The sequence below is a fragment of the Homo sapiens genome, chromosome 7 (genome assembly GCF_000001405.40).
Source record: "Homo sapiens chromosome 7, GRCh38.p14 Primary Assembly".
NCBI lineage: Eukaryota > Metazoa > Chordata > Mammalia > Primates > Hominidae > Homo > Homo sapiens.
In genome coordinates this window covers 21,361,648-21,385,400 of record NC_000007.14, presented here as the reverse complement: position 1 = coordinate 21,385,400, position 23,753 = coordinate 21,361,648, and the positions used below count along the sequence as shown (strand labels likewise).

The 23,753-nt window shown below is 36.1% G+C and overlaps 1 pseudogene, besides 3 other annotated features; it reads right to left on the bottom strand.

Moving 5' to 3' along the window:
* Positions 1,365–1,434: an enhancer, noted in NCBI's record as "active region_25699". NCBI's record gives its function as "activates an Ori minimal core promoter by ATAC-STARR-seq in GM12878 lymphoblastoid cells {active_cell/tissue: GM12878}" and the evidence as "EXISTENCE:reporter gene assay evidence [ECO:0000049][PMID:35858748]".
* Positions 3,907–4,038, bottom strand: RNU1-15P (RNA, U1 small nuclear 15, pseudogene; annotated as a pseudogene).
* Positions 16,803–17,003: a silencer, noted in NCBI's record as "peak6425 fragment used in MPRA reporter construct". NCBI's record gives its function as "represses an SCP1 promoter by STARR-seq MPRAs in K562 erythroleukemia cells {active_cell/tissue: K562}" and the evidence as "EXISTENCE:reporter gene assay evidence [ECO:0000049][PMID:32103011]".
* Positions 20,062–20,151: an enhancer, noted in NCBI's record as "active region_25698". NCBI's record gives its function as "activates an Ori minimal core promoter by ATAC-STARR-seq in GM12878 lymphoblastoid cells {active_cell/tissue: GM12878}" and the evidence as "EXISTENCE:reporter gene assay evidence [ECO:0000049][PMID:35858748]".

Sequence of the window (23,753 nt, the reverse complement as noted above, 5' to 3'; positions counted from 1 at the left end):
AAAACATTGTGATTGGTTGTCAAGCATTACAGGTATAACAGAGGGAGGCAGGTCACCAAACCCAGAGGAAAATACCTAACTGAGACGATGAGGCTTGGCTTAGGCAATTTTATTTCCTGCTTTCTCCTACTAAAACAGGACAACTCTACTGGTGGGAACACTAGCAGCTCAAACAAAGAGACTGTGAAATGATAAGAAATATATTTGGTTTTTGTCCCTGGATCCAGGCACTAAAACCCTTGGAATTTGCTTAGTGGTAGGAGTTTTTCATTATTCATAATAAACTCCCTTTGATCTCACCTGAGTTCATGCTAATGAAATGACTTAGGATGAAGACCCTCGATAGTCTCAGGACAGGTCTAGTCACTAGAAACCAAATGATTAGAGGCTTGGAACTTTCAGCTTCCACCCTCCCCCAACTCTGCAAAGTTGGGGATGGGGGCTAGAGATTAAGCCCCATAAAAACTCCTGAACAGTGAGATTTCTGGATTGGTGAATGCATCCACCTGCTGGAAGTTAGCATACCCTAACTCCACAGGAACAGAAGTTTCTGCACTAGGGACCCTTCCTGACATGGCCTTATATACCTCTTCATCTGGCTGTTCATTTGTATGCTTTATAATAAACCAGTAAACATAAATAAATAACATGGCTTCGTGAGTTCTGCGTGTGTGAGCCATTCTAACAAATTACTGAACCCGAGGAGGGGGTCCTGGGAGCCTCAATTTATACATTGTGTAAGTCAGAAGTATGCTATGAGAAACCTGATACTCGGAACTGGCCTCTGAAGTTAGGGCAATCTTGTGGGTCTGAGCCCTAAAACCAATGGAACATCACATCCTAAGTAGTTAGTGTCAGAACTGAACTGGATTGTTGGACACCTAGTTGGTATCTGAACAGAATCAGATAGCTTCTTGGTGTGCAAAATGCCCACACATTTGGTGTCAGAAGGGTTGTGTGAGTGTAGAAACAGAGTTTTCTACTGGGGACACCATAGCAGGCAGCTGAGAAACTAGGGTGGATAATAGCTGATTAATAATTTAAAATTGGTCAGCATGGTGACTCGCATCTGTAATCCCAGCACTTTAGGAGGCCAAGACAGGATGGCAGGAGGATCACTTGAGCTCAAGAGTTTGAGAACAGCCTAAGCAACATAGTGAGACCCTGTCTCTACTGAAAAAAAAAAAAAAAAAAAAAAAAAAAAATTAGACAGTCCTGGTGGAGTGCACTTGTAGTTACAGCTACTTGAGAGGCTGAGGTGGAAGGACAGCTTAAGTCCAGTAGCTTAAGGCTGCAGTAAGCTGTGATTATGCCACTGCACTCCAGTCTAGGTGACAGAGTGAGATCCTGTCTCTAAAACAAAACAAAAACAAAAGCAAAAGCAAAAACAAATTAACCTTACAATTATTGAAATAGAAACTAAAGAGTACTTTGAAAAACCGTTTGGCCAATGTCTGTCTCTTAAAGTTCTGAACCTTTCACCTAGCTATTGATTAATTACAGCTGTCAAAGAGAAGAGCATCTGGATTAACTTTGGGTCAAAAATTCCCCTAAATCGAACACTAAGACTTTTAATGATAAACAAAAAACATTGTCAAGCACTTCATATATGTATTAGGCAATTGCCAAGAAATTATTCATACTCTACACAGTTGTAAAGCAAAATATCTGCTGATAGGCAAGCTAACACATACCAGTAGTCCTATACCATTTGCTTGCAGTTGGCATCTGTTATGATTGGTTGCTCTCTATGCCTTATCAGTTGTTAAATATTTTGAATATCCCACCTGGTCATTTCCCCAAAGACAGTGATTGCTCTTTAACTTTGCAGGCTATTTATATTGGGCAACATTCACTAGAGTCATTTGCTAAAAGATTTTTGCCAAAACTTAATCTGTTTTGTTGCTAAGCAAAATAGATAGTATTCACTTTTGTGGCTGGTTTTATCAGCTGAGCAAAATACATAGTATTCACTTTTGTGGCTGATTTTATCAGCTTGTTAGCAACAGTGTGACTTTTGCCTGTTTTGGCTGTGAAATGTACAATGTTGAAGGATGCCTCTATAGTTTTGGTTTAAGTGATACAATTAATCAGCTTTATACTAGAAAATAGTATATTTGCTTGTTCTAGAAAAATTAAATTGGTTTACTTGATTGAAACTGGGCTTTCTTTGAAAATGGAGCAAAGGCATATATACTTCATGTTATCATTTGACAAAACTTCACTATTTGACAAGGATGGTGTAAACGGACACCACCACATAATGCAATACTCAGATATTCATAATGGCAGTTCCCATTTGCATTTTTCTTTCTCAGGTCCTTGTGTAAAACCACCCCACTCTACATTTCACTGGAGGGCTATACTATTTATCTTTTTAAAATTAAATTATTTGGCATTGTAGTGTTTGTTCCCATCTTTTATGCTTCAGTGGGTCACTGTTGGTCCATTTTTGTGACTTGGGGATAAAGTACAATAGTATTAATTAAAATGCAAAATCATAGATGTAAAAAATAACATAAAATATTTTCCAAGATAAACTTACCAATGCAGTTTTTACAGAGCATGCAAACCAACACTCATTAAACATGTAATTGGATTTCTGCGAGAATAATGACGAGCTTTTTAAAAAAGTTTTTAATAATGAATAATCTTATACTCAATTTTGTGAGATGTGTGTGAATAGAGTTTTATTCTATTTTTTCCTTTCATACAGACACTCTCTGCAAACCACTGTGGGTCAACTGGAGGTCTCAGGATCACATTTAAAGATGCACTGTTTGGCCAGGCCCAGTGGCTCACGTCTGTAATCCCAGCACTTTGGGAGGTTGAGGTGGGTGGATCACTTGAGTCCAGAAGACTAGCCTGGCTAACTCAGTGAAACACTGTCTCTACTAAAAATACACACACACACACACACAAAATTAGCTGGGCAAGGTGGCGCGTGCTACTGCCACCTACTCGGGAGACTGAGACATGAGAATTGCTTGAACCCAGGAGGCAGAGTTTGCAGTGAGCCAAGATCCCACCACTGCACTCCAGCCTGGGTGACAGAGTGAGACTGTCTAAAAAAAATAATAATAATAAAATAAAAAATAAAAACTCACTCTTCTAGAGAAAATCTCATCCATAATTTTCAATTCTACCCATGGGCCACAATTCCCAAATATCTATCTCAATCTTGCCTTTGATGACAGACAATGTATCTTTTTGTATGTCTCCTTTTGAACATTAATATGTCCATTAATCTCAATATGTCAAAGATCTCAATATGTCCCAAAGATGCTCACCCAATTTATTTTTGGCAACTATTTAGAAAATTTTGAATCATTAGAAATTCTTCCATTTACTTCATGTCTCACTTACAATTAGCCACCAAACCTACTCAATTGTATCTTCTAAACGTATTGAACCTTACCTTTTATTTCAATTCTGCTCATACTGCTTTTCTTCAGAATTGTGTAATTTCCTGCCTGTTTTGCTGCCATTTCTTCCATATTGGTCAAGCTCTCCTGTTCTTCTCTAATTTATATTCCATGATTCCAAGGTGATCCTTTAAAAAAATGCAAATTTTAAGTATTAGCCCAAAAGTTATCCATACTTTTTTCAGGATAAAAATAGAAACCTTTAGTATCACATGTAAGTTTCTTCATAATCTGATCTTGGCTCACTTATCTGTCACTTCCTCAATATTACCATACATAACTTTTTACATTTATGTAAATATATCTTGGTATTCATTGCTGTGTTTTGCACATACTATTCCTGACAGCACCTTCCCATGTTTCTCCCAAGTCAGCTTTGCCTTGGTTGATCACATTCTACAAGATATAGTTCAAAACTAATACAACATCTGAATAGCCTTCCCTTATTAGCCTACTATTTTTCTTTTTAACCAAGGAAGAACACAAATTATGCAGCCAAGTTTCCCACTTTCGGGGAAATTGCAGGGGTCTGCACACCCAGAGTGCAATAAATAAATCTCACCCTGGGAAAGCCACCTTCATGATCATTTTATCTTCCCTGCCAGACGAGTATGCTCCAACATTTTTGAAGTAAATGCTCTCCTCTACATTCAGTAATTCTCTACATAACTCTTTTATAACACTTGAAGTGGTTGTTTTAGTATCTAAACATTTATCAATCTTATCTTTTTGCACTTCTTGATTTTGTTACTCTAGTTATGTTTTAAGATTATGGAAAGATAAATCAATTGGTTTATATTTATATTTTTATTTAACATATTTTAGCATGTAATCTTTTTTTTTAAGTAATTAAATAAGAGAACTAAATAAACTTGTAATATTTTTCCCTAAACCTAAGACTCTCACACCGGGGCCTTTGTTAAAATATTTATAAGAATTTTATGTCCTATAATGTAAAGTTTTTAACATTTTTTTTAGAAAAGGTTTTGCTCTGCTGTCCAGACTGGAGTACAGTGACAAGGTCATGGCTCACTGCAGCCTTGACCTCCTGGGCTCAAGTGATCCCCCCACCTCAGCCTCCCAAGTAGCTGGGATTACAGGCGTGCGCCACCTAACCCGGCTCAAGTGATCTGTCCACCTTGGCCTCCCAAAGTGTTGGGATTACAGGTGTAAGCCACCTTACCTGGTGTAAAGTTGTTAAACAGAAATTGTACCTGCCAAATTATTCTTTGTTACATTAAATTACTTATCCTAAAACGTAGCCAGGTTTCAAATCTAAATTTTAAACATCTTGATATATAGTTTGAGGGCAGAAGATAATAAAAAATAAATTGCTGTTTCTTGTGGGTTGAGATTTCCTAAGAAGAGAGGTGACTTAGTTTTTATATGTTAGAAAGGATTATCACACAAACCTATATTATATGCACTACCTTGATACTAGAGAATCAAAGTATTTTGAAAATTATTTTTGTGGCCGGGCATGGTGGCTCACGCCTGTAATCCCAGCACTTTGGGAGGCCAAGGAAGGCAGATCACCTGAGGTCAGGAGTTCAAGACCAGCCTGACAACATGGTGAAACCCTGTCTCTACTAAAAATACAAAAAAATTAGCCAGGCATAGTGGCACATGCCTGTAATCCCAGCTACGTGGGAGGCTAAAGCTGGAAAATTGCTTGAACCCGGGAAGTGAAGGTTGCGGTGAGCTGAGATCGCACCACTGCACTCCAGCTTGGGCAACAAGAGCAAAAACTCCATCTCAAAAAAAAATTATTTTTATGTTATTGATTACTGAATCAGTATATTTTATATATATATATGTACAGAAGAAAGCTTGTGGACTGACAAGTAGACCATTCATTAGGAAGTTTCTGTTCCACAAGAAGGATTAAGAGGGGGAAAGATTATAAGAACTTACAAAAGTATAATCTGGAAACAATAAAATTGTAAAAGTAGAAAGAAGAACATAGAAATTTAACAATAAATAGTGAACACACTCTGTTTTGTGGAGTCTTGTTTAATAAATGCATACATTTACATTAGTACAGGAAAGTCACAAAGTCATTTATTTCTATTTTGATGAAAGTACTTATGACACCTCAAACAATCCAGTCCAGAGATAAATGTGGATCCAATTGTCACTAGAAGACTGCTGAGGTATTAGCTTTGATTCTCTTTTGAAGTATTAGCTGTGTCATGAACACAAAGGTTAAGAGAATGCTTTGGAAATAGCCTTGGAAAAAAGCCACAGGTTTAGGGAGAATGTTTATTTCTTGATTTAAATATAGATAAATCACATTTCGTTGTTATTTATATGTTATATATCATATACGTTATATACGATATCAAATACTGTTTACAACTAGGGTGTCAACATTTATTTAAATACGCAAAATATTTTGATTAGTGTTTGAATGTTATATTTTTAAACTAGAAGTCTTTATATTTAAAATTAGTTTCTTATAGACAGCATATACTTGAGTCTTGCTTTTTTATCCAATCTGACAATCAGTACTTAGAGTGTTTAGACCCTTTACATTAAAATAATTTTGGTGTGATTAAATTAAAACCTACCACTTTGGTAATTGCTTTTTATTTGTCCCACCCACTCTTGGATTTTTTTTCTTCTTTTTTCTTGTTTGTATTTACATTAATATAATACATTTTATGATTCTATATTATTTCCACTATTGGCATTTTATTTTTTAAGTTTTTTAGAGACAAGGTCACACTCTGTCACCCAGATTGAAGCGTAATGGCATGATCATAGCTCACTGTAGCCTGGGACTACTGGACTCAAGCAGTCCTCCTGCTTCAGCCTCCTGAGTAGCTAGGACTACCAGTGCATGTCACTATGTCTGGCTAATTTTATTTTATTTTCAAATTTTTTTGTAGTGACCAGATCTCACTATGTTGCCCAGTCTGGTCTGAAACTCCTGGCCTTAAGTAATCCTCCTCCCTTGGCATCCCAGAGTCCTGGGATTATAGATGTGAGCAACTTCACCTGGCCTGGCTTATTATTTATACCTCTTTAATACATGTTTTAATGTTTGCCCTAGAGTTTATAATGTACATCTTTAATTAAGTATAGTCTACCTTCAAATATTAATAATATAATACTGCTTCATGTGTAGTATACAAACTTTGCAACAGTAAACTCCAAATTTCTCCATCATCTGTGATATTGTGAGACATTTTACTTTTATATAAGCTATAAAATCCCAATACATTGGTGCTACTATATTTGCTTTAAGCCATTACCTTTTAGATTGATTAAAAATAAGCAAAATATTACTTTTACGTTTAGTTTCATTTAAAGTGTTTCAGGAGGTCTTTATTTCTTTATGTAGATACAAGTTTCTGTCTGGTGTCATATTTTTTCTGCCTTAAGTACTTTTTAAATACATTTATTACAGTGTATGTCTGTGGGTAATGAATGCTCTAAAAATATATCTACATTCTTCTGTGGTAGAATAAGAAATGTGTTTGGTCTTTATCCCTAGTTTCTGTCACAGAGCACCTAAAAAGCTTGGAATTTCCTGAGATAGTGGTATCTTTTGTTACTCATAATGAGCTCCTTTCTATACAACTGAGTTTATGCTAATAAACTTAGTGGGGATATCAGGGGATGGCTGAAAGGGGTTGGAGATTAAGTTCAATGGAAACTCTTGAACTAGGAAATGCAATGAGCTTCTGGGTTGCTGAGCTTGTGGAGTGCTAGGAGAAAGGCTCACCCAGAAAGAGAATGGAAGATCTGTATGATTCTTTCTCCCATACATTGCCCTATGTGTCTCTTCCACATGGCTGTTCCTTAGTTATATCCTTTATAATAAACTGATAAACATAAATAAAGTATAATCCTGAGTTTTGTGAACCATTCTAGCAAATTATCAGACTCCAGAAGGGGCTTGTGGGAACCCTGGTTTTTAGTGTCAGAATGGAATTGAATTATAAGATAACTCGGTGTCTGCTGCAGAATTGCTTGGTATGTGGGGAGAAACCACACACATTTGGTGTCAGAAGTATGTTGTGAGAGTATAGCGTAGAGAAAAAGTGTTGTGTTTTCCCGCCTTCATTTTTGAAAGATTTTCTGAGTATAGCATATAGGTGCACAGATTTTTTTTTTCATTGCCTTAAAGATGTCATTCCACTGTCTTTTAGCTTGCATAGTTTTGATGAGAAGTCTGTCATAGTTCTTATCTTCTTTTCCCCTCTGTAATGTATCCTTTTTCTTAGGCTGCTTGTAAGATACAGATTGTCCCCAACTTATGATGGTTCAACTTACAATTCTTTCTTTCTTCTTTCTTTCTTTCTCTTTTCTTTCTTTCTTTCTCCTTTCTCTTTCTTTCTTTCTTCTTTCTTTCTCCTTTCTCTCTTTTCTTTCTTTCTTTTTTCTTTCTTTCTTTCTTTCTTTCCTTCCTTCCTCCTTCCTTCCTTTCTTTCTTTCTTTATTTCTTTCCTTCCTTCCTTCCTTCCTTCCTTCCTTCCTTCCTTTCTTTCTTTTCTTTCTTTCTTTCTTTCTTTCTTTCTCTTTCTTTCTTTCCCTCCCTCCCTCCCTTCCTTCCTTTCTTCCTTCCTTTTGTTTCTTTTCTGACAGGGTCTCACTCTGTCCCTAGGCTGGAGTGTAGTGCCATGATTACAGCTCACTGCAGCTTTGACTTCCTGGGCTCAGGTGATCCTCCCACCTCAGCCTTCTGAGTAGCTGGGACCACAGGCCCATGCCACTATGCCTGGCTAATTTTTGTATTTTTTGTAGAGATGGGGTTTTGCCACATTGCCCAGGCTAGTCTTGAACTCCTGGGCTCAAGCAATCAACCCACCTCAACCTCCCAAAATGCTGAGATTACAGGTGTAAGCTACTGCCCCTGGCCCTCAACTTTAACTTTTTTTACTTTATGATGGTGTGAAAGCAACACATATTCAGTAGAAATCTTCCTTCTCTCCTGATCCTGGGCACCTACAGTGAGCCACAGCTCCTAGTTACCCTGCATTTCCATTTAGGATGAGTTTATTGGGATATAACCCCATTATAAGTCAAGAGGCATCTGTACTCTCTTTACCTTTGGCTTTCGGTTGTTTGAATATTTCAAGACTAGGTGCATGCTGTTTTATTTATTTATGTATTTTGTATTTATCTAGCATAGGGTTTTCTGACCTCTTTGGATTTAGGCTTTTGTTGCCCAGGGTAATATGGTCATAGTAAAGTTTCCTGTCCTTTCTACAGTGGTGACAACTCCATTACTCTACCTCTGCATCATAAGTGAGGCTTTCATTGGTTTTCTACTGTATCTGTAATCTTTTCTCATGACCATAAAATGAAGGTCCACGAAGAGCCCGTGAATGGGTATAGATACCCCTGTGTCTGTTGCTACTATGGGTTTTATACTCTCATCATAGTCGAGGCTCAGATTTAACAATTTGTTGCTAATAGCATATGAATTATTTCTGCCCACTTATATAGCAGCCACATATTCTTTTTGTGCTCTGCCCCAGGTGATTCAGTGCTTGCATCCAGTCTCTTCTTGGAGTTTCCAGTCTTTCCTTATGATTCAGGCTAATTGGTTGCCATGAGATCTCAGGTTACTGATGGGTTCAAGAAAAGTTATAATTTAAAATTTTTTTTCAGCTTATATTTGATTTATGGATAAAAATGATATTCTGTCCATTTTTCTACATTCAAAACAGAATCCTAAAGTCCAATTAGCAAGATATTTTGGACAGAGAAATTGTGCATTTCACACAGAAAGGAATTTAATGACTTAGCTAAAATTTTATTCATTGAAGAGAACAAATAAATATGTTCTACTTTAAAAGTGTTGGTTTTAGAAAATTTCTGTACATTTAATTTTAATGTATTTATTTAAAACTCTATGCTTTTAAATTATAATTATTTTTATTTTAAGAGCTGTGCAAAAAAATTACTACTTAATATTGTTTAAAGCAAATATCCAATTTCTAATGTCCATAATTTAACAGATCTGATCACAGAATACACACACACACACACACACACACACACACACACACACTACTGTGAAGTTTTTAAAGAAATATCTGTGAATGATACACTAATAGTGTCCCTCCATATATATTACAGAGAAAATATTTTTAAAATATAACAATAAGAAAAGAATTTTTTTTGCATTGCTTATAGTTACTTTACTTTTTGTTGTGTTTTTTCTTTTTTAGGCCAAGCAATGCTTATGGAGCTCATAGCTACTTTATTAGATGTTTTTCTTTTTCAGTAGAAGCCATTGTAATACTTTCTATGTGAACACTGATCTTAAGTATATTTTCATTGATAAATACACTAGGCAAATGAATGTGCAATGACATTAGTACATAATTCCTGAAGCCTATTCCACTGGACATTTGATCTGCATATAACAGAAGTTAATGAAGGTTCTATGGTCAAATAAATTTGTATACTTTTGGGTTAAATAAACTTAAATAGGTTTTTATTTGTTTTGTTTTTGTTTTTTAATAACCAGACTACTCAGACTTTAATATGCTAATATACATTGTAAATCTCATTGAATAGACTAATTTTCTTAAAAATCTTTTCTAATTAGAATTATTATTCCATAAGACTATACTTTTCAGTGTTATCAAAATTTATTTCATTGCCAAACACTTTGAGAAATTCTGTATATTTTCAAATACAAAAAAATTAATGGATGCCCCCTAAGTGCTAGGCTACATATTATATCCTGCAGATTCTTTTGAGTAAAATAGGCATGGTGTTTGCCCTCATGGAACAAACACATATTTTAAAATAGATTTTTTTTCAAGAAAGCTAAATAATAATTACGCAAAAGATTTCTAGATTCATTGCCATAGAAGTGAATACAAAACATTTAAGTATATGTATAAAATGAAATATGATAAAACTTAATCGAAGAACAGCTTGCATAAAATATAAGTATGAAAAGCTTAACATAATACATAAAGAATTAATTTGAATTCACAAGACAAACATCAAGTCCCAGTAGTAAATGAGCAAAGGGTATAAACAAAAAAACCCACATAAGTAAAAATTTAAATAGCAAAAGAAGTTATTAAAAAAAATCTATTGTTCCTAGTAATCAAAGCAACATTTTAGTAGCATCTATTTAACCTCTATAAATTTGCTTATACTATAAAACATTCAAACAAAACAAGTAAGTACAAAATTGACACAGTTGTGATCAAACAAGCTTTTTGGAAAGCATTCAAAGCAATACCTATGAACAGCCAAACTAAATGCATCTGCTCACTGAGTAATATTACTACTAGGAATTTTTGTAAAAAAAAAATTCAACAGAACAATAAAACTATGTTTATGGACAAATACATGTTCACTGTAATTTTATCTATAGTATTAAAAATTGGAAACAATGTCAATTATAATAGGCAATGGCAAATTAAATATTGTTATGCTAATTTCATTGATTATTATTTTTATTGTGCATCTAACCTAGACAGCTTAGATTTTCTGAAAAAATAAAAAAATTAGCTTAATTAGGTGCACTGCAGTGGGTTTACAAAAATCCTATACTTATTAAGAGTAATACTTTATGTTTATGTGTAAAAGATTGTTAATTAGATGATTAATTTGAGTGAGCTACGGCAGGCCTTGGAGGTTGATAGCCAGATGAACTAGCTGTCTTCAAACCGTGACCTATATATAGGTGTGATAAATGAACATGAAAACAATGTTTTCCTGTGCTGGTGGAAAAGAATTTATAAACATTTTGCATATATTTGCATAATCTACATGTAATCAATTACATTGCTAATATACAGTTGTTCCCTCTTATCCATGGGGGATATACTCCAAGACTCCCAGTGGGCCCCTGAAACTGAGGATAGTACTAAACTGTATATATAGTGTGTTTTTTCTTATATATACATGCCTATAATGAAGTTTAGTTTATAAATTAGGCACAGTAAGAGATTAACAATAACTAATAATAAAATAGAACTATTATAAGAATATACTGTAAAAAAAGTTCTGCAAATGTGGTCTTATTTTTTTCTTTCTCTCTCAAAATATCTTATTATATGTAATATTTTCAGACGGTGGTTGACCAAAGGAACTGTGGAAAGTGAAACTATGAATAAGGAGGAGACTATTGTAAGGATTAGCAAGTAGTGGTCAAGAAGATAGATAATGAATAAAATATAAAAATGTTCTATCACCATGAAACGGGTACATAATTCAATTAACTGTAATTGAAGGTAATTAGCTGGATTCCATGTGGTGGGTGCAGAATTCCATGTATCTAAATCAGACAATAAAAAGTTGAAAATAAAATTTGCATAAAGGTGAAATTTACCCAAGGAAATTTACCGAAGGAATATATTTTAAGGACTGTAAAGCTGCATGGCAGCTAAAAGCATGCCTTTGAGTTTCCCTGTTGATATGGTAAGTGTTACCGGCTTGGAAAAGGATCACAGTTCTGATCCCACATTCCAGTTCCCCAAATCAGACAGTTTACCTAGATCTGTAGCAGGGTATTCATTTTGAATCTTTATCTGGAGAAACCGGCACTGCTGGAAATAGTAATATTCACTCTTTAGTCAGATGAATAAGGGAGGAGACCACCCCTCATACTGTCTTATGCCCAATTTCTGCCACCAAAGAAAGAAGTAAAAACTAAAACGCAGAAATGAAATCCATAGGCAGACAGCCCGGTGCCACGCCCTGGGCCTGGTAGTTAAAGATCGACCCCTGACCTAACTGGTTATGTTATCTGTAGATTCCAGACATTGTGTGGAAAAGCATTGTAAAAATCCCTGTCCTGTTCTATTTCGTTCTGATTACTGGTGCATGCAGCCACCAGTCACATACCCACTGCTTGCTCAATTGATCACAACCCTCTCACACGGACCCCCTTAGCGTTGTGAGCCCTTAAAAGGGACAGGAATTGCTCACTTGGAGAGCTTGGCTCTTGAGACAGGAGTCTTGCCAATGCTCCTGGCTGAATAAACCCCTTCCTTCTTTAACTTGGTGTCTGAGGAGTTTTGTCTGAGGCTTGTCCTACTACAAAATGACTTTGCAAACCCATTAAGTTGTAGAAGTTATATAGAGATAGTAACATAATATATAGAAAGTATTAATACTGTGATAGTTTATGTGAAATATATTTTAAGTCATAATGATAATTTATGTTTCTTATATGTAGCATACGAAATGTTCAAGAGATGACATGTTAGAGAATCTCTGACATGTTAGGGAATTTAATTGTATTGTATTTTTAATTAGAAATGCCTGATTATACTTGTGATTTAAATTTGACATGCATTAGGGAATGTAATCAATTAAGTTTACAAACAGTGCTTGAATGCTTACTAAAGTTGTACATTCAGTTTGTTTTATTTTAAAAAGCTGCTTAAGAATTTATAAAGACTGTTTTAGTCTGTAAGTTGGCCTTATCAGAAATGAGGTGTTTGAAAAAATAAAAAATATTAAAGTTATATATGTAGGTTAAAAATCTAATACATTAAACTTACTAAACTATTAGTTAAAAAATAAAGAGTAATTAAAAGCGATTTGCTTATTCTTAATAAAAATTATTTAATTTCTAAATCTGCTAGTAAGAGTTATATGTTGAATTTAGGGGTTTAAGAAAAATTTAGTCCTTTAATTAACCACAATAACAAATTTCACATTTAGACAGCTCTAAGTGGTTCATTTTGCATTTAAAAGCCCTCCCTTGGACATTAAAAATTCACCGACATGTTAAGCCCAATGTTAATTATCAATTGAACATGACAACATGACAAATTCATGTCACTCTGAAAATCCATTTCATTATTCCATTTGCATTTGACTACTTAGTGACATTCCTTGCATTTTAAATAAATATTTAATAAAAGTATCATATTTAATATAGAAAATTTGTAAGTAAAAAATGTGTAAGAAAGAAACATTGCCAGTAATCCGCCAAAAGATGGCCACTACTAATATTTTAGTATATTAGTTTTTTATATATACGTTAAGCACAAATTAAATTAGTAACCTACTGTATATTCTTTATACATGGTTTTTTATATGTTGGCTTTTACATTTTAACTTTTTTACCATGGCAATGTGTACAGATTTTACATTGCAAGGAGAGAGAACCGGGGGGCTTGAGTGACTTTTGCCACAGTGTAATGAAGGAAGTGTTGGATTTGGTATTAGACAGAAAAGAGGTTAAATTTGGTTTCAATGTTTACTAGCAGGGAGGACCTCGGACAAGCTTCTTAACATACTCTAGCCTCAATTTCCATACCTGTGAAGTGATAATGATAATTACTACTTAATTTGTTTGTTGGGGGAAATGAGGTATCTCTATCTAAAGCAGATAGGGCAGTATCTGATATTAATAGTTACTTTTATGCTAAGAATTGTAGAGGTTGGTTTCAGTAGAAACTTTCGGTTCAGTCTGTGATCTGAAGTGCTTTTGAGGTGAAGGAATCTCAGACCCATGGAAGGATTCTTTGTTCTCTGAATTCCACACATGACTAGTTAGAGCTGTTCAATGTGATTGGCAAGCAGAGTTAAGAGTTTGCTGTAATAGCTGCACTGGAAGTGTGCAGACAAATCATGGTAAGAAATTCAAAATCGAGAAACCAGCCAAAGAAAAAAATGCTCAGCACATACATTTAAATAAAAGTATTTGTTCTAATTGCTTTTATGTATAGTCAGAGACAAATCATTTAAAATGACAAAAATGTTTTTTTTGGAAAGCTCAGCAGGCATTCAGGGCCCCGGAGAGTCATCGTTATGAAGGGAAAATACTAACAGGGTGGACTTCAATTTTCAATAAGAAAATTGGAGGCTTTATTTGTGTGAGTCCAATTAGTGCAGCTAGTTAAATTTTTCAAATTGCAGAATTATAAGACAGTTTTAGAAAAGAAATGTTTTATGTAATTCTAACAACTATGCATATCCCCTTGTGGTTGGAAATAATCCTTTTTGTGAATGATTCTTCTCAGAAGAGAGGCATTCACTTTATGTACACGACATCTTGTCTTTGGTCTTTTTTTTTTTTTTAATGAGCCTCACAAAAAGACCCCCTAGAAATGATCAGGAGATGCCAACTTATTCTCCACATAAACATTCTGATTTCTAAGAGTTAACAGCCACCGCCTTTGTGTTTACCTGAGGCTATACTCATTGCCAAACTTCCCTGACAAGCTTTTTGCCCTTACTTATTGTTGTGCTGATATCCGGTGTCAGAGCGTTGTAGATTGTGCTGGAAACACTATGTAATTACATGGGCTTTCTGATCTCAAAGTTACCTCACCTATTTCATCACTATACTTTTCTAACAAGGGAACGGAAACCCAAGATATAAGACATCAGTGGGAAATTGGCACCATGGATATTGGAGAGCCAGTGGCACTATATTAAACTTCAAAATGAAAGAAGGAGCCTGATGGCAAATTCACTTGCTTCCACTTTTGAAGGTCAACGAGTCACATCCCGAAAACTAGAGTGATTCTTCAAGTGATCTGTAAATACTTCACGTGTTTAGAAATGAGTGTTGTAACCTAATCATTTTGGTGATTATAAATTCTCAGACACCTGCTGTCTGTCTTCCCCCTCACACCTGAGGACCTGCACAATGTAGAGAGACTACAATAGATATATGGCTAAAGTAGACAACGTGCTACTTCTGCATTTTCGTATTAGTAAACATTTTAACACATTTTTTCATATATGCAAATTAAAATTATTTAAATAAAATGCGGTTTCAAATACAAATCTATCTTTTTATTTGAAAACAATATTTGCCCTTACAAAGTCCAATAAGTTGTTTTCAACCAATTCGTGTTTTATTGATAGAAGAGTCAAGTGTTAAAAGAAAAAAAGTGAGAATGGCATTAAAAATTTAAAACAATCTATTTTTGTTATATCAAATAAAATTGTTGAGGCTCTTTGATGTCTGCATTTTTGAAATTTCTAAAATCAATGTCTTTTGCACTTTGCCATGCAAAGACTCATTAGAAAAATTAGAGAAAAAATAAAAACACGAAGAATTATTGAAGTGTGCAAGTCATATGATTTTAGTCTTTTAAGCAGGTATTGAAGGTGCTTTAAAAATGTTGGATGATTAGTAAATAATACTAATAATAGATTTTTTTTTCCCTTTAGGTAAAAATCCTTTTGGAAGCCCAGGCGTGGTGACTCACGCCTGTAATCCTAGCACTTTGTGAGGCCGAGGCGGGTGGATCACCTGAGGTTAGGAGTTCGAGATGGTGAAACCTCATCTCTATTAAAAATATAAAAATTAGCCGGGCATGGTGGCGGGTGTTTGTAATCCCAGTTACTCGGGAGGCTAAGGCAGGAGAATTGCTTGAATCCAGAAGGCAGAGGTTGCAGTGAGCTGAGATTGCGCTGTTGCACTCCAGCCTGTGTGACAAGAGCAAAACTCCATCTCAAAAAAAAAAAAAAAATCCTTTAGAAATTAATAGCTTTGTTAGAGCTTTGTTTTCTCAGATTAATAAAAATAATTTTCATTTCATTAAAGATACAGAATTTATTACCACTGTGGTTTCAGCTCCATCAAAGGTAGCTTACGTTGGCCAACTCTTTGGTCATCAATTTTGGTGCACTAGATTCAAGTTAATAGTAAAGAAGGAATTCTATTTTTTTTTTAATTTAAAAGACAGGGTTTCACTCTCACCCAGGCAACACAGTGGTGCAATAATAGCTCACTGTAACCTTTAACTCATAAGGTTGAGCTTAAAGGAACCTCTGGCCTCAGCCTCGCAAGTAGCTAGGACTATAGGCATGCACCACTGCAGCCAGCTAATTTTTTTTTTCTTTTTTTTTTTTTTGAGACAAGGTCTGGCTCTGTCACCCAGGCTGGAGTGCAGTGGTACAATCCTGGCTCACTGCAGCCTCGACCTCCTGGGCTCAAGCCTCCCACCTTAGCCCCCCGAGGAGCTGGGACTAAAAGTGTGTGCCACCACACCTGGCTAATATTTTTTTTGGTAGAGATGAGGTTTCGCCATGTTGCCTAGTCTGGTTTTGTACTCCTGGGCTCCAGTGATCCTCCCACCTTGGCCTCCCAAACTGTTGGGATTACAGGAACAAGCCACTGCACCTGGTCAAAAATTTTTGATGTTTTGTAGAGATGAGGTCTTGCTATGTTGCCCAGGCTGCTCTCAAACTCCGAGCTTCAAGTGATGCTCCTGCCCAAAGTGCTGAGGTTACAGGAGTAAGCCACCACGCCCAGTCTGATTCTAATTGTTAAGAGGTTTTAATAGACTGATTTGACCCCCTTAAAGTTATCTTCCAATAATAATGTTAATAATTTGTATTTTCAAAATATTCATTTTAAAATAGGTTTCCTTTTAAAATGTGAACATTTCTGTTTGCCTGAGTTTCTATTTTGAGGAATCAGGTTTGACCTGAAAGCTTGAGCACTGGCCAGTCTTTGGAAGATGATTTATGATCAATTGACCTAATCAGTCAAAGCAGAGAGATGAGTCAAGGCTGAGGGTTCAACTTGTACAAGAGCCAAAACCTTCACATAGAGAAAAGCTCTTGACATCCATGGTTGACAGGTGCACTCTTAACACCAGCACTCTAATCTGTGCTACTGGCCATTGACAAACAAAAGTGAAGCCTTTTTAGACCCCCACCAGAAAACGTGGAAACCAGCCCATCTGTCCTGAAATGTTTTTGTATCACTATGGCCATTTTGAAAGCACAGAACGGCATACTCTTATATTTATAATTCTAGATCTGCATCTGCTGAAGCTATGAGCTCCAGAATGAACAACCTTTAGACAGAACTGTAACCCTCAATGAGTGCAGATGGTTTTCTTTTCCGCTGCACACAAAACAACATTTTGGCTGCACAGGTTAATCAAGAAATGAAATGAGGAGCAGCAATAGCAACAACAACAGCAACTACAAAGATGTATGAGGCAAAGGAAGAAGTATAGTGAGAAGGACAAGAAAGTTTACATCAGGGGTCTGCAAGCTATTGCACTTAGGCCGACTGCCTGTTTTTATAAATACGTTTTCTTTAAAAACTGTAGTTAAATATACATAACTTAAAATTTATCATTTTAACCATTTTTAAGTGTGTAGTTCAGTGGCATTAAGTACATTCATAGGGGTATGCAACCATTACCACTACTCACCTCCAGAACTTTTTGTTGTTGTTGAGATGGTGTCTCACTCTGTCGCCCAGGCTGCAGTGCAGTGGTGCAATCTCGGCTCGCCGCAACCTCTGCCTCCTGGGTTCAAACGATTCTCCAGCTTCAACTTCCTGAGCAGCTGGGATTATGGGCGTCTGCCACCATGCCTGAATAATTTTTGTATTTTTAGTAGAGACGAGGTTTCACCATGTTGGCCAGGCTGGTCTCGTAACTCCTTACCTCAGGTGATCCACCCGCCTTGGTATCCCAAAGTATTGAGATTACAGGCGTGAGCCTCCATGCCTGGCCTCAGAACTTTTTCATTATCCCAGTCAGAAACTCTGGGCCCATTAAACACTCACTCCCCATTTCCCTCTCTTTCCAGCCTCTGGCAACCACCATTCTACTTTCCATCTCTGTGAATTTGCCAAATCTAGATACCTCATATAAATGGAATGATACGATATTTGTCCTTTTGTGTCTAGCTTATTCCACTTAGCATAATGTTTTAAGATTCATCCATGTTGTAGCCTGTGTAAATAAAGTTTTATTGGAACACAGCCAGGCCCATTTGTTTACATAATGTCCATGGCGACTTTCACATTACGGTGGCAGGGTTGAGTAGTTATGATAGAGTTGTGATGACTGACAAGACCAGAGATATTTACTCACTGACCCTTTACAGAAAAAAAACTAAGTCCTTGGTTTAGATTAAAGAACCATAAAGTACCTCCTTGTTTTTTAAAAACTCCTTTATAGTGTTACTTGCCTATGGCAATTTTGGCTTATTTCTCAGCCTGATAAATAGGATTAATGAACTGTTTATCACACTGTTGTCATTAGTAAAGAGCCTCAAATGTCAAGATTTAAAATTCTTTCCGCAGGTCTGGTTACAGTGAAAGAGGGCTCATTTTCACATTTCACTGATACACATTTTACATAATGAGGACTGATCAGTGAGAGCTGATTAGTGAATCTTGGTGCAGAAAGTTCTAAAGCATGATGGACAGTTGCAGAATCTAAAAATGTCTCTTTTTCTTTGCCTTTGTCCTCTGTAATTGTGAATTTGTATGAAACAGCATAATGTGTATGCAATATTTGTAATGATAAAAAGTGTGCATTTTTGCTTGAAAGTCTAAAATATCATCTTCTACCTGAACTATTAGGTATAGTTTCTTATTTTATTGCATTGTATTAAAATTTTTTTAGGACTCTCCTAATTAGCACTACTAAATTATTTGTGGACAAGTACAAAGAAGTCTGAGAAGAACATTTTTTTTCTCTGTATTCAAAGCAACTGGGAAGGAAATGTATGTTGTAGTTGCAAAATACAGATGAAATGGCAGATAATGCTATTTCCCATGAGGTCAGGTTTCAATGATTCATCCTCTGTTAACAAAACGTAATGTGCTTGGGCAAACATTCCAGATAAGACAGCACCTGGTTTTATCATACATGATAAAAATGAAAAGGTCTGAGGGACACTTTATGGAAACCATCGAGGTAATAATAACAAAACTGTAATAGCAAACATTTCTGTGGTGTTGACTTTGTGCCAGGCACTGTTCCAAGAATTTTGCGTATATTAACTCATTTGATCCTTATGGCAAGTTTATGAAATAGGAACTTTTATTATCTCTCTTTACAAAAGAGGTATTTGAGGTATAGAAATGAATAGCTCTATTTTCACTGTTAGGTTGGGAGTGGGGGATGGATGTTGACCAACTGCGGCAATTATTGTGTTTCAGTGGTCACTTTCTCTATTCAGACACCCAGAAGACACAGTTCATCTAGCGAGGAGCACTCTGACTTCAGTGAGGGGTTGGTGCCCTTCTCTCATCCTCAGGCTCCCTATTCCTGTGTCAGTGCCTCAACGGTTGTCTCCATTCACTTTAAAATGTGTCTTCATGACAAAGACTCTGATTCCTACCTTTGCCTCAACTTTTGCCATTTTTTCTTCTCTTCCACCCACTTGCATGTACTTCAATGTAGTCCTATCAAACAACTTGGAATTCTTGAAATGTCTTTCCTGCATGAGTTCAAATCCACCTTTTCCTAGTTATGCTGTGCAACCTTGAACAAATTACTCAACTTTTTTTTTACTTTTAAAAACTGTGATAAAATACACATAACAAAAAACAAGATTGTACATCCATCACCACTATCTAGTTCCAGAATATTTTCACCACTGCAAAAGGAAACCCTGTACCTATTAAGCAACCACTTTCTATTCCTTGTCCCTCCAGTTCCTGGCAACCAATAATCTGGATTTTTGTTGTTGTTGTTGTTGTTTTTCTGGATACAGGGTCTTGCTCTGTTGCCCAGGCTGGAGTGCAGTGGTGCAATCACGGCTGACTGCAGACTTGAACTCCTAGACCCAAGGAATCCTCCTACCTCAGCTGGGATTACAGGTGCATGTCACCACACCTGGCTAATTTTCTTTAAAAAATTTCATTTGTGGGGATGGGGTCTTGCTATGTTGACCAGGCTGGTTTTGAACTCCTGGCCTTAAGCCTCCCAAAGTGCTGGAATTATAAGCATAAGCCATTGTGTCTGGCCCAGTATGTTTTCTGTCTTTATAGATTTCACAGCTTTGAATATTTCATATATATGGCATCATACCATATGTGGTCTTTTGTGTCTGGTTTCTTTCACTTAGTATAATTTCTTTTTCACTACAAAACGGCAACCACAGAGCATAATGTTTTTAAGATTCATCCATGTCATAGCATGTATCAGTACTTAGTTCTTTTTCACAACTGAATAAAATTCCACTGTATGGACATACCACATTTTGATCATCCATTCATCAGCTGATAGGCATTTGAGTTGTTTCCAGCTTTTGGCTGTTATGGATAGTGTTGCTATTAATATTCCATGCAAGTTTTTGTTTGAACACTTGTTTTCAGTTCTTTTGGGTATATACTCAAGATGAGAATTACTGAGTCATATGGTAATTCTATGTTTAACTTATTGAGTAACCGCCAAACTATTTCTCACAGTGGCTGCAGCATTTAACACTCCCAGCAAAAATGTACAAGTGTTCCAATTTCTCCACATCTTTGCCAACACTTGCTATATTCTATTTTTTAAAATTATAACCATCTGAGTGGATGTAAAGTGGTAGCTCATTATGGTTCCTCAATATTTTTAAGCCTTTGAATCTACATTTGCAATGATGATGCAAATAGCACTTAATTCATACAATTGTATGAGGAATAAATGCAATCATATATGTTGGGGGCTTGGGCTAGTGCTCTGTAAATGTAAGGTCTCTTATTATTCTTTTTTACCATTGCTGCTGGGCCTATGTTATCTCTCCTGGAAAAGACAGTACTCTGGGGTCAGATGTTTGGGCTCGAAATCTGATTCTACATTTGCCAGCTGCATGGCCTCAAGCAAGTTATTTAATTTCTGTGTGCGGCAGTATCCTTGTCTATAATGTGTTCTAGCAGTACCTATATTGCCTGGTTGTTTTGAAGACTATGAGTTACTGTATGTAAAGAACAGTACCTGGCTCATAGGAGACACTTTAAGTGTTAACTATTATTACTTCCTCCTTCTATTTCCCAGGATAATTCCTGCTCAATCTCCAGATTGCAGCTTTGATCTCTTTCCTGAGGAAGCTTCCTTTGTCAAACCCCCTAACCTCTATACCCAGCCCCCTGCAAGGTTAAGTTGGCTGTCCCTCCTATTTACTTACTGAGTCACTTAGATTGCTGTCTGTCTCTTGTCTTTTTGCACCTTTGTTTGCTCACTATCTAGCAAACTACCTGGCCTATAGTACTCTCAATTATTATTAGTTAAATAAATAAATGGGGCCAGGTGCTGTGGCTCACGCCTGTAATCCCAGCACTTTGGGAGGCCGAGGCGTGCGGATCACGAGGTCAGGAGATCGAGACCATCCTGGCTAACACGGTGAAACCCGTTTCTACTAACGATGCAAAAAAATTAGCTGGGTGTGGTGGCGGGCACCTGTAGTCCGAGCTACCCGGGAGGCTGAAGCAGGAGAATGCCATGAACCCAGTAGGTGGAGCTTGCAGTGAGCCAAGATCACGGCACTGCACTCCAGCCTGGGCAACAGAGTGAGACTCCATCTCAAAATAAATAAATAAATAAATAAATACATGTTAATCAATGATATATATGGTGGTGGATTCATTCATTCATTACCATACTGTACTCAAGGTATAATGTTGGGATAAAATGTGCATTGAGTGTGGCTAGATATAATATGCTTTAAATATTGACTGCAGGGTCTCTTTGTGTAGAAAAAGTCAGAAAATAATTGTTAACAAACAGAACTCTTGATGAAGATTATCTACATCCAGGAAATAAACCCATAAGATACTTATTTTAAAAGGGCCCTTGAGATACTACATATCTAAAACTTCTGAGGTTAGAAAAACTGCAAAGATAATTTCTATATTATAATCATTATCCATGGTTAAGTAACAAAGAATGACAGAAGAGGAGAGAAAAGGGTTTTTTTGGTTGTTGAAATAATGATTTTTGAGCTGTATACATATTATTTTGATTAGGTGGGTAGGGGTATATATTACATGGCATAAAGTATGGAAACTTTTACACTGACTTTTATTAGAGAATGGGACAGATAGTGCAAATAACAGTTATTAAGGATAGCACATTAAAAACAATTTTAAAGTAAATATAAAACAAAATTCAGCTATTGGCCGGGCGCAGTGCCTCACATCTATAATCCCAACACTTTCAGAGGCCAAGGTGGACTAACAGCTTGAGCCCAGGAGTTCAAGACCAGCCTGGGCAACATGGCAAAATACCATCTCTACTGAAAATACGAAAAATTGGCCGGACGTGCGGCTGTAGTTCCAGCTACTCAAGAGGTTGAAGTAGGATAATCACCTGAGCCCAATAAGTTGAGGCTGCAGTGAGCCGTGATTGCACCAGTGCACTCCAGCCTAAATGACAGAACAAGAACTCATCTCAAAGAAAAAAAAAAGTCTAGCTATTTAAGTTTATAGATTTAGCTAGCTTGAATTTATGTAGTATAGTTGCCTGAATCATTTAGTGACTATATTAAAATCTAATTGTTAGAGAAAAGTGACTGTATTTTTACTTAATGTTTATTAAATTTATTGCAGGTACATAAAATGTACATTTTATGATTTCTTTAGTATTTATATAGTTTTGATTAGATATGATCTTTGTTTTCTAAGATTTCACAACGAAAATTTTTAACTGTGGTGACTACTGCTTGGAATTAGGAAGTTCATGAGTAAATTTTAAGTGTCTGTTCTGCGTGATCCTATAGGGAATTCACATTTTTGATGAGAGAGCAAGAGTAATGGAATTCAAGTGAAATGAGAGTTCCAGAAACTAAATATTAACTTGGTGCCGATACTGGGGTTAGTGGAAAAAATTTAAATGCCACTTCTTCTCAGTCAAAGTCCCCAGACATACCTTTGTTTTTCTTTTCCTTAAATTCCATATGATGAAGAAAAGCTTTGGATTTTGCAGAATCTGCTCCTCTTCAGAACACCAACAGTAACTAATGAAGCTATAAAAAGTTAAAATCCACCTGCAGAGAAAATTAAAGTACAATTAAAGAACAGTTTTTGAGTATCTGTTTTTTCTCATGCTAGAGAGTATTGGGAGCATAAAGATTATAGGACAATGTTGCTTCTCTAAAGAAGTCATTAGTCTAGTTGGGATATAAAACTTATACATAAAAAGAGACACATAACACAACAGCAAAGTAAATGTTAGGTGTTTTGCGGAGTGTACTGATTACATACAAAAGTAAGAAAAGGAAGGAGGAGGAAAGAGAGAAGAAGACCATTTAAATTTTTATTCTTACGAGGGCCTTTGGTTGGAACAAGCCAATCTGATTAGGGTGGTTGGAAGAGGATGTCTCAGCTGACATGTACATGCAGAATACTGCTCAGGAAGCCAAAGCGGTGGCCAGTGATCAGATTCAACGTCAGAAATTCTTCTAGCCAAGGCTCTAGGCAACACCAAAGTCTGTGGATTTAAAAAAAAAAAAAAGATAGTTTGTGGATTTTCTATTGGGTTGCTTGGGAACTTCTTCATGGTGATATTAATGGCAAATATTTCTCTTTTGAAATTAGACACAGCTGTAAGAAGATTTCTGTTTGGTGGAGGTAGGAATACATATGGTCAAGCAGATAACAGTGTGGTTTGATAGACAGTCTAGATAAGAGAG